The following is a 12,185-nucleotide window of genomic DNA, read 5'->3' on the forward strand; positions in this document are numbered from 1 at the left end:
ACTAATATGGAAAACAATGAGAATATATTTCATGGCTTGTTGTGCATTCTATGTGAGGTTTGTTTGATGAAAACACCTTTCTTTTCAACTATTGGTCTGAAACTCACAATCATGTTAAATCAGGTTTTCCCAATATCCATTTGTAGAGTCTAGTACAGTACATTTTTACTAGGATATAAGCATTTTGAGGATACAAATATTTCTTGTTTAGTTAACTGTTTGCAACTAGCTTATTGACTTACAAATAATGAGCATATCAATAAGTAGTTGTTTAATAAATTTATTAATTTCCTGGCTTGGGGGAAGGAAGGTAACATATTATCATTGGCAGTGCTTTGTCGAATTCTTGCCTTCAGATTTGAATACAAAAAATATGATTTATTGTCATAGCTACAAGTAGGATAGAGCAGCTAATATGTTAGGTTCACAGAGATCAGTCAATTGATAAATATGATATTATACTAAGACTTGAATTAACTTAATCTTCAGAAACCCGTGGAAGCTTTACTTTATGTAATATGATTATTATTATCATCTTTGATTTCAGTATTAAATGCTTTGTGGCTCCTTAGAGTCCTAGAACAATGTAAAAGAAGGTAGAGAGGAGGTCCACTTTCATATAAGTGAGAATTTTTAGCTGTCAGATAGTTGACATTAATGAACTTCACATTTATCTCTTCCTAACAGCAATTTTTAAGCATATATCTGTTAATCTAGGTCTTTCATTATTTCCATACATAAGCCCATTGCAAAATTCACCAAATGACACAGTAGACTGTCCCTTCAATAATATTATTAGAAAAAAAGTGCACTGTTGGGTTCATTTTTTGTAGTTTCTTGTAGCAACCTTAGTTAAACTAAAGCTGGAACTAAACAACTAAAGTTTACTTGCTTAATTTAACCTTCAGTCTATGATATTCTCATGTCTGATCTTTATTTTAGAAATACATATTATAGGCCCAGGGCGACGGCTCATGCCTAGAATCCCACCACTTAGGGAGGCTGAGGCAGGTGGATCATGAGGTCAGGAGTTCAAGAGCAGCCTGGCCAATATGCTGAAACCCAGTCTCTACTAAAAATACAAAAATTAGCCAGGCGTGGTGGCACACAGCTTGTAATCCCAGCTACTAGGGAGGCTGAGGCAGGAGAATTGCTTGACCCTGGGAGATGGAGGTTGCAGTGAGCCAAGATCACACCACTGCACTCCAGCCTGGGTGACAGAGCAAGACTCTGTCTCAAAAAACGAAAGAAAAACATATCATACCTGCTATGTACAATTTCTTTTCACAATATAATAGGTTTGGATTTTACCTTTTATTATATTTCTTTCCTCAAATATTATTATTTTATTTCAGCACTCCTTTTGAATTGCCCACTCTGCTTTAACAATAATGCTGTTGTTTATTTGTATGGTGCCTGAAATAAACCATGCTATTGGTCTACCTTGGCTGCCATTTCTTATTCCTCATCCAACCTGTTTTCTTTCAAAGAGGCTAGCTCTTATTAAAGAAAGATGACACCAACTAGTAATGTTTTGACTACTTTAGACTCCTGAAAACTGTGTTTTCCATCATTCTCTTGAACTTCCATAAAGCTTGTCCTGGTTTTAATCTAATTTTCATAAGTTACAGAGCTATGCAACTCAACACAAGAAGCAATACTAATAAAACTTACTCCAAAGACTACCACTGGAAATGTTTTGTTGTTTTGAATCTTACTATGTCATTCTTGGAAAAAGTGGCTTTCATTTCCAATGAGGGTAGATTTCACTTTGTTTGAAAAAGTGGTAGAAGAAAACGACAGGCGAAGAACCACTTAAACAGGTCACTTTGAAGGAGTTCTTTATACTTGAAATTCTATTCTCTCAAGTTCATAATTTTTATAATTGAAATATAAAATATTTTATTTTCATAGTAAACCTCAAAAATAAAATTAATATCTCATGAGCAAACTATCTGAAAATGTTCATGTATTGCTAGTTGTCCAAGAGTAGTTTGAAGATGACTCATTGCAACACTGGTAGAACGGGCATCATTTGTCTGCCACCCAGTTCTAGAATGAAGAGCCGACTGCATTTTGTTGCACCCAAGACACTATGAGGAAGGATTTGCTCACAATTTTGTAATTGAATTCATTAAAATTTTTACTCTCATAAATATTTGCTATCATTTAGAGTTTCCTGTCATATAAAAAATGTAGAGTTTTGAAGATACACCAAAAATGTGTCATATTGGACTCACTCTTAAAAATTAATTAATCATGCAGCATGTAAAACATATAGAAATTATAAAGGATGTAAAAATGAAAACAAAAAATGGAAATTATAAAGAATGCAATAGTCATATCTACTACCTAGCTTAATAAATAATATATTGCCAAAGGTCAAAATATTTGTTGTTTCTTTCTTCCTGAACATCAGCCTCTGCAGTAAACTTGTTTCTGTATATGACTGTCTTAAATTTCCCTGCATGTTTATTGCATACATACGGATCCTTAAACAACATCCGGGGGTTGGAGGGTGAGGCAGGGCATATAGTCTATAATTTGCAGAAAATATATATGAGTCAAGGATACTATTGTGTGGAGACCAGCATGAGCAAAAGAATAGACCCAGAGTCATTGAGGTACTATTATGTGTAGGGTCTGGTAAACATGGGTCACTGAAGGCACACCATGATTATAGGTTCTGAATAGCTTTTTTTTCTTCTTCTTCTTCTTTCAAGAGACAAGGTCTTGCTCTGTCACTCAGGCTGGAGTGCAATGGCACCATCATAGCCTGGGTTCAAGTGATGCTCCTACCTCAGCTCCCTCAGTAGCTAGGACTACAGGTGCATACCCCCACATCTTGCTATTTTTTTGTTTTTTTCTAGAGATTGGGTCTTCTGTGTTGTCCAGGTCTGTCTTGAACTCCTGGCCTCAAGTGATCCTCTAATTTAAACCCCCAAAAGTGCTGGGATCAGAGGCATAAGCCACTGGACCTGGTTTACAGGTCCTAAATATCTAAGAGCAATGCCAACGTAAGTCCAATGCTACACATCCTCTCTCTCCAAATGGCTCAAAATGGAGGCAAAGGAGTGGGACTCCAAGACAGAAGATGTGAGTGAATTAGAGGAGGAGGAGAAACAAAAGAAACAAATATGGGGATATCGGCTTATAGCCATGTCTACATTTACAACAACCCTGCTCTTTTACCTGCAACAAAATAATCTAAAACAGCTTATTAAAAATAGATTAGTTTTGTTTTATTACTATGGCATTAACCAGTATGTGTTCACAAATGAAGGCAGATTGGGAATAGACTTCGCTTCACTTTCAAGGTTCCTTTCCTCAATTAAGTCTAAAAGAGGAGAACTATTTCCCCACTCCCTCATCCCCATGAAAAACAAAAGAAAAGAAAAAATTCTGTATCTTTAATTTTTTTCTACCAAAGCTGATACCTGAAAATCTTTTACAGCTGCATCTGCTATTTCCTGCTCAGCCCTTTCTTAACTCTCTTAGATATGAGCTAAAAGAAAATATGCCCAGATACCACCTTACCCTAGCAGCATATTCTCTACCTGCCTTACCCACTCTGTGTGCCAACCCACTTGTTCTGATGCCTGAGGTAGAAATAGTAGAGTTTTGGCTGCAAAATGCTTTCTTCTTGCATTTATTATAGATGACAAAAATATTTTGGAGTTAAATGGTGAGATGGAGGGATTTTTTTTTAGGTCTTATATTTGACTAAAGATTTGTGTTTCTTGCTTTGTGAAAATTTAATATTTTAACTGTATTCCAGCAGCCCTATGAAAGTAGGTAAGGTAGATGTACTAAACCCATTAACATGATAAGGCAACCAGAGGCTCAGTGGATTGCTAAGATGGTGAATTGCTTTTTTACTAGGTGAAATTATATTTTTATGGAAAGGACAGAAGGAGCAGAGTTTGTTTTGGTCTTTTGCTTCGTTTTTTGTAAATGTGCATGTGTTAGCAAAAACACAAAGCAGCAAGAAACCAAGGATGTGGTAAATTATTCACTTTATGACTTCAAAGAGCTTCTCTTTTATGACTAGCAGCCTCACAGATCAATAGATAACGGGTGTAAATAAGAATCATAGAATTTAGGAGTTGGACAAGGCTTTGAAGGTTATTCAGGACAACCCCTCATAAGGAGTTATGTTGGTCCAATATTGCTTGGAAAAGATGGGCTAGGCCAGACCTTCCAGTCTAGTCTGAGTTTGAGTTTGTGTGAGAAGTTTGACTGGAACTAGGTACAAGCCTACTTTTTCTTTGATTTACTTACAGAGTAGGAAATAAGAAGGGCAAAGATTGCCAAAGAACTAAGAATGCTTTGAGGGTTAAAATTTCTGCTGCGTTCGCACTGGGGCACTCTTGTACCTGCGATTGCTCTGCGGGGCTTAGGAGATTTCCCATATTGCCCAGTATGGGCAGAATTGTCCACAACCTGCCACAAGAACTAACCCAGACTCTGCGAGAACATTCCCCCACAATGGGTAGTTGATATCATAGAACTTTCTTTCTCACTGTAGGAAACCCTAATTTGTCAGCCTTTCTTCTACTGCTTTATATTGAAAGCAAGGCTAGCTTTTAATCATAAAGGGACAAAAAAAAAAAAAAAAAAAAAAAAAAAGGCACACTCCTAGTTAACACCCAGCTTCTACTGCTCTTTTAGAAGTCCCTTTGTTTCATGGAGACCAGAAAAAACCATTTACATTTCCAACTCTTTGTCTTTTTTATTTTATTTTATTTTATTTTTCACTCGGTCTCCCAAACTAGACTGCAGTGGCGCGATCTCGGTTCACTGCAACCTCCGCCTCCTGGATTCAAGCGCTTCTCATGCCTCAGCCTCCTGAGTCGCTGGGATTACAGGCACCTGCCACCACGCCCGGCTAATTTTTGTATTTTGAGTACAGACGGGGTTTCGCCATGTTGGCAAGGCTGGTCTTGAACTCCTGACCTCAAAGTGATCCTCCCACCTCAACCTCCCAAAGTGCAGGGATTACAGACGTGAGCTACCGTGCCCGGCCTCTTTGTCTTATTTTTGCAGCCTGAAACAAAGAAAAAGTCAACAATCTTTTTTTTTATTTTTTTATTTTTTGCAAGCCAGCCCTTCAAATACTTAAATGAATTATCTCTATTTCACAACCATTCACAGCCTTGGTCTTCATCTTTGTTTTTTGTTTTTCTTGTCCCCAAATCCCGACACATCTTCTCCCATGATACAACTCCCTATTCTGTTGAGTGCCTTCAGCGGAACACTCTCCAGTGTGTCACTGCCATTATAAAACGCAGATCTCTTAGTGACCCCAGGTGAATCTCAATCCTTCCCCCTGAATAGCACGTTTCAACTAGGAATCCATTCGTGTCTATCTTGGTAATCCTATACAGTCAGTCATTCCGCTGAGGGTTCCACCTAAGGGTGACCCCAAACGAAGGGAGGGAGGAAGGAGAAAGAAAACAAAGGTGAAAGAAAGAACAAATACAGAAATATAAGGAAGAAAGAAAAAGATAAAAAGAAAGAAGAGGGAGGAACAGAAGGAAAGATTTAAAAAGAAGAAGAAGAAGAATGCATCTACTTTAGCATATTTTCTTAATAAATCACGCAAGTTTTAAAGAGTCCCCCTCTTTTATCTTCTAAGGTCTCACAAACTATTTGATAAACATTACAGTAGGTATTTCTTTTTTTTTTTTTTTTGCCTATATAATATGCACTCTCTTTTTTCTCTAATACCAATATCCTAATTTCCTAATGAATCCAGGCTCCGTCACTCCTAGGACAAGTGCTTTGTGTGGCAGAGCTGTGTCCAATGCTAGCTTTGTAGACACATGGTATGCTGTTCTGAACAATCAGATCACTTTATTTCTCCAACCATGACAACTGGTTCAGAGATGGACATCTGACCTATTCAGAGCCATTCAGAATTAACCTCAGTTTTTATTGAGAAAACCAGAATAGATTCTATTTCAACACGATTTGGAAGAAATCTTGGGAACATTAGTGACCTCAACAGGAAAAAAAAAAAAAAAAAAGCAAACGTGGAAGAAAAATAAGCTGATGGCGGGGACGGGAAGGAGCCAGGAGATAAAAACAGCTTCCTGATAGCTGGAAATAGACAAAGCAAGCTGCGGTTAGTTCTACTGGAGACGTTTTCCCTTACTGATCTTTTTTGTTTAAGCCTCTTGTAGCTGAGTTTCTTTTATTTGCAACAGAAAGAGACATGTCTAATATTTATTTTCCCAAAATATGCATCAAATTTCACTTCTTTCCAAATTGATTATTTCCAGTTTAAAACATGAGGATGATGCGTGCACATCTTTAGTACTCTCAATGTTTCCAACCCTTATCTTCAATGTAATTTACTAACAATTATTTAAAGCTCCCTCTCTCACTATTGTAAGCTACACGAAGGCAGAAAGCATCACTTATTTTAATGACCCTTATAGTTTAGTGCAGTGCCAGGCACTTAGTTAACACACCATATAAATGTCTAGATAGATAGATATATAGAGGTAGGTGATAAAGAAATTTATATATATATATACACTATATATATAGTATATATAAAGAAATACATATATAATATATGCATGTGATAGAACGAAAGAAAGGATAGGTAGATTTATCGATAGGTATAAAGCCCGTGGGCTGTGACTTATGCCTGTAATTCTAGCAATTTGGGCGGCCGAGGCAGGTGGATCACTTTAGCCCAGGAGTTTGAGACCACCATGGACAACGTGACAAAACCCTGTTTCTATAAAATATACGAAAATTAGCTGGGTGTGGTGGCATATGCCTGTAGTCCCAGCACTCGGGAGGATGAGACGGAAGGATCCCTTGAGCCTGGAACTTCGAGACTGCAGTGAGCGGAGACTGTGCCACTGCATTCCAACCTGGGCAACACAGTGAAATCCTGTCTCAAATTGATAGATAGAATAATAGAAATAATTAAATGAACGTTATGTCAACTTCCCTATGGTCTATACATCTTCAGCCTTTAATAGCGTTTGCTTTGGGAGCTCATTCACAACATCTTTTATTATTCTGACAGGTTTCATTGGATCACGTTCTCCTGAATGATTTTCCCCTTCTCCCTTTATCCTGGGTTATCAGTTTTTCTAACTAAAGAATGTTCATTTTATGCTAGGAAGCTGAGCTCAGAGAGATGCTCCTCAAATTTTTAATCTTAGAAAATTTTCTGGGAAACCTATGGACAAGGTGCTCACCTCGCTTGCAAGAACAAGCTTAGTATATTCACAATCATACATTTCATTGTCTCTCTGAGGGTCAATGTTTCTTGCTGAAGCTCATAATGGATTTGAAAATCCTTGTAATGCCTAACTCCCCTTTAAACAATTAACCAGAGTCTCTTGGTTCCCTTGGAGACTATTCTAAGACTTAAAATTGTTTTTCTTCTCCCCTGCCCACACTGCAGCTAAAAGCTATGAATTACCACAATAAACAATATTGAGAAATGTCAAAAATCATCATTTCATCCCATGGAAAATAATCAAAGAGCAAAGATAGAGATTCCCTTCCTATTTATGCACTTGTTTAAGAAGTGTCTGACCTCTGTGGGATCTTCTGGGAAAACTTTGATATTTTGACTATTCGTTATTAAAAATTCATAGATAGAGATGAAAATGAATCATTTACTTTTTTTCAATCATACCAAAATTGGCCAAATGGCTTTTGCAGCTGACAGTTTCCAGTTATTCTTTGTGATGGAAAAGGGCTATCAATTTATGAAGGAGGAGGCATGATAGTGACATCCATAATAAAATTTAAGCAATAATCTGTACACAAATAACATATTTATCATCCCTCATGCAAAAGCTAAGCCATTTGCAATTTGTAAACTTACATTAAGTTCAAAATAAAGAAATTTTAAAAATGCATGCTAGTTAAATAAAATGCACAGTGTTTATAATTGGGAAACATAATATCAATAATGATGATGGTGATGATTATAGAGAGAAATTATATAGGTTTAAAAGTATGCCAGGCCCTCTAATAAGTGCTTTATGTAAATTGATTCATTTACTCCTTCCAAAGATCATTTGAGGCAGGTAATCAGCTAGGAAAAATATTCTACAGAGTATGCAGTAGGCACAGCAAGTGCCAAGGGTCTGAGGTGAGAATGAGCACAGCATGTTGAAGAAGCTAAAAGACAGAGTAGATAATATGTCTTTTACATAACAATATTTTATATCAATTTTCATTTCCTTTCTAGTACAAGATTATTTAGAATATTAAAATTTTCAGTTAAAATTGTTTTTTTTCCCTTGGCTATTCTTTTCTGTTGTTTTTTTTAAATATTTTGTTTCCATAATGTGGACTCAATTTTCAGTTTCATATAATTTGTTTTTATTTTAATTTTGAAATAATATATTAAAATTTAAAATATTATTTCATGAGTGTTGGAAAAACTGTATTGTTGTTTTAAGATTACAGTTCTGTGTGTGTGTGTGTGTGTGTGTGTGTGTGTGTGTGTGTGTATGTGTGTGCATGGCTACCAAATCAAATTTTTAGTAGTTTGAATTTTGCTATTCCTCTTTGAGTCTAATGTCAAATAAATTTTGTATGAAGTATCTTTAAGGCTCTAACATTTAAGGATCAGTAAATTTGTCTTTGTATTTCCATGAGCTTAATTTTGTATATTTTGATGCTGCATTTTAAAAATAAGTTACACTCAAGTTTTGTTTTTTATTGTATTTTAAGTTCCAGGATACATGTGTAGAATGTGCAGGTTTGTTACATAGGTAAACATGTTCCATGGTGATTTGCTGTACCTATCAACCCATCACCTAGGTATTAAGCCCAGCATGCATTAACTATTTTTCCTGATGCTTTCCTTCCCCCTGCACACTGCTCCCACCCCTCAACTGGCCCCAGTGTGTGTTGTTCTTCTCCCTGTGTCTACGTGTTCACATTGTTCAGCTCTCACTTATAAGTGAGAACACGCAGTGTTTGATTTTCTGTTCCTGTGCTAGTTTGCTGAGGATAATGGCTTCCAGCTCCATCCATGTCCCTGCAAAGGACATGATCTCATTCCTTTTTATGGCTGCATAGTATTCCATGGTGTATATGTACCACATTTTCTTTATCCAGTCTATTATTGATGGGCATTTGGGTTGACTCCATGTCTTTGCTACTGTGAATAGTGCTGCAATGAATATATGCATGCATGTATCTTTATAATAGAACAATTTATATTTCATTGGGTATATACCCAGTAATGGGATTGCTGGGTCAAATGGTATTTCTGGTTCTAGGTCTTTGAGGAAACACCACACTGTCTTCCACAATGGTTAAACTAATTTACATTCCCACCAACACTGTAAAAGCGTTCCTATTGGTCCACAACCTCCCCAGCATCTGTTGTTTCTTGACTTTTTAATAATCACTATTTTGACTGTTGTGAGATGGTATCTCACTGTGGTTTTTATTTGCATTTCTCTAATGATCAATGATGTTGAGCTTTTCTTCATATGTTTGTTGGCTGTGTAAATGTCTTCTTTTGAGAAGTGTCTGTTCATGTCCTTCGTCCACTTTTTAATGGGGTTGTTTTTTCCTCGTAAATTTGTTTAAGTTTCTCATAGATTCTGGATATTAGGCCTTTGTCAGATGGAGAGATTGCAAAAATTTTCTCCCATTCTGTAGGTTGTCTGTTCAGACTGATGATAGTTTCTTTTGCTGTGCAGAAGCTCTTTAGTTTAATTAGATCCCTTTTGTCAATTTTTTGCTTTTGTTTCAATTGTTACCAAAAAAGAGCCCATATAGCCAACATAACCCTAAGCAAAAAGAACAAAGCTGGGGGCATCATGCTACCTGACTTCAAACTATACTACAAGGCTACAGTAACCAAAACAGCTTAGTACTGGTACAAAAACAGACACACAGACCAATGAAACAGAATAGAGGACTCAGAAATAAGATTGCATGTCTATAACCATCTGATCTTCCACAAATCTGACAAAAACAAGCAATGGGGAAAGGATTCCCTGTTTAATAAATGGTGCTGGGAGAACTGGCTAGCCATATGCAGAAAATTGAATCTGGACCTCTTCCTTACACCTTATACAAAAATTAACTCAAGATGGATTAAAGACTTAATGTAAAATCCCAAACTATAAAAACCTAGAGGAAAACCTAGGCAATACCATTCAGGACATAGACAAGGGCAAAAATTTCATGTTGATGCTGTGTTTTTTTATGTATATAAGGTTTTATGATTTTACTTTTACCATTGTAAAATATGATTAGCTTGTCTCATTCATCTTTTTTTTCTGGTATTACAATGGGTTTCACAGTGTTGGTTCAATGCCTGCCTTTTGTTAAAATTTGCCCAATTTACTTTTACCATCATTTTATTATTATACTTTATATTGTCGAATTTTTAACTTTCTCACTTTCACACAACATATAGCTAGATATGGGATTGTTGTTCATTTGTTTTCTCTTCTTTCTTTTTTTTTCTTCTTTTCTCTCCCTAATGTTAAAGCCTCTGATTTATAAGGAAATATAACTCATGTTTATTATGCCTACAAACATACTTAGTATTTCTTAGGTTGAGATTCCCAGCAAGTGGAGCCTGTGGCAAAGGCTGGTGTGCTTCTGCTCCATTAGAGTGTGATCCCAGGGAGAAGTAGTGAGATCAAGTACAGCAAAGCAGGGAAGAAGGGAGAGCCAATAGAAAATGTGCCATGGGGCTGAGCATTACAAGGTAAAGCAGATGTTTGACCTTCAGGATCTCTTCCCCCAGAAGCTATATGACTGTGGCTCAGAACCGTGTGCCCAAAGGAGACAGAGAGGATAATTTATCTACACACATCTGTTGCCCATCACTCAAAAGTCTGGCTGATAGGGGGTTAATTCTGCCCCACCACCCACCCCTACACACACATATTTCGGTTGGACATAGGTGGGCACTGACGTAGATTCTTTGCTTCCTGTACTTATATGTGAATAGCAAAGTGTTGAGAACTGGAAGCATGAGTGAGTGACATGCAAGGAACTGACATTGAAGTAAGATTCTGTGAGGGTGAGGTTGCATTTGTAGAAAGTGGTTATAGTCCACTTAGCAATGGTCATCACAGAGGTGGCTGAGGGACCAGTAGATGGTTCTGAAAAGGTAAGTGGATGCTACCTAGGTTTGTTTAGTCTTCTTTCTAGCAGGGTTTCTGATTGGGTTTCATTTATTTTATTCTCTTGTACTGAATTGTCTTTTCCTATTTTTCTTTTTTGTTTTAAGCATTATTCATCATAGGCCTAATAGTTGCCCACATATATTTAATGTGTATGTTTATATTATAATTTTTGAAGGATAATTTGAATTATTATCCATTTAGAAAATGACCATAACATACTTTCACATTTCTTGTGCTCTACCTTCTTCACCTCAACTAGTCACCCTTTATATGCTCTGGGTTTCATATTGAAAATATATTTGAAATATTCCTGGATCATTACACATAACTCTGTAACATATTTATTTTTTAAATTCTGGAGAAATCTATTTTTGAGCTCACTAGTTTCCTTTATAAGTCTATCCATTTCTCAATTCAACCCACTCATAGAGTTTTTTAATTACTTTTTTCAACTAAAAATTGAATGTTTAAATCTAACTCTTTTAAAATGACCACTGCTTAACATAAACTGGGAAGAGATAAGGGAGTCATGGCCCATCTGTTCCAGTAATCATCCAGATGGACAACCAGGTGGCCTCTGCCTTGCTTACAATCATTAACTGTGAACCTGGAGGACTGCTACAACCAACCTTAGCAGAAGATCTGAGGATACAAAAGTTTAGGGCACCAGTTTCTTATGTTCTTTTTTTTCTTTATAATTCTTTTAATCTTCTCTTTATGTTTCAGGGATTCCTCAAAATTTGCAATTGGTTGATGGCACTCTTCATCTTTCTGATGTTCATTTAGAAGTGGTATGTGTGCGTGTGTATGTGTGTGTAGTGTGTATGTAGTCATTCTTACCAGTAGTGCACACCTCCCCCCCCAATTCTCTCCTCTATCCTACTTTGTTCTTTTGATTTTTTTCATTTCAAGGGATTTTGGAAAGTAGAAGAGTAAAATTGTATAGTCAATCTACACCCTTTGATACAATCTCCAGTGCACTAATTAATTTTACATTTTTATCATTGTTAGTTTTTATTGAAACACGCATGCCAAAAG

At 36.5% G+C, this 12,185-nt stretch overlaps 1 protein-coding gene across 11 annotated transcripts in view; it reads left to right on the top strand.

The window, feature by feature from the left end:
• Nucleotides 1–12,185, top strand: part of DPP10 (dipeptidyl peptidase like 10) — a 1,403,140-nt gene that overhangs the window by 611,034 nt on the left and 779,921 nt on the right. The window contains exon 1 of one of the 11 annotated variants that reach the window (NM_001178037.3): nucleotides 10,899–11,131. The exons of the other annotated variants lie outside the window; for them this stretch is intronic. Coding sequence (NP_001171508.2) covers nucleotides 11,084–11,131 — 48 coding nt within the window. The 5' untranslated portion in view covers nucleotides 10,899–11,083. Of the gene's footprint in view, nucleotides 1–10,898; nucleotides 11,132–12,185 lie in introns of those variants that run through there. 11 annotated transcript variants of the gene reach the window in all.

This window comes from Homo sapiens, chromosome 2, assembly GCF_000001405.40.
Source record: "Homo sapiens chromosome 2, GRCh38.p14 Primary Assembly".
Lineage (NCBI taxonomy): Eukaryota > Metazoa > Chordata > Mammalia > Primates > Hominidae > Homo > Homo sapiens.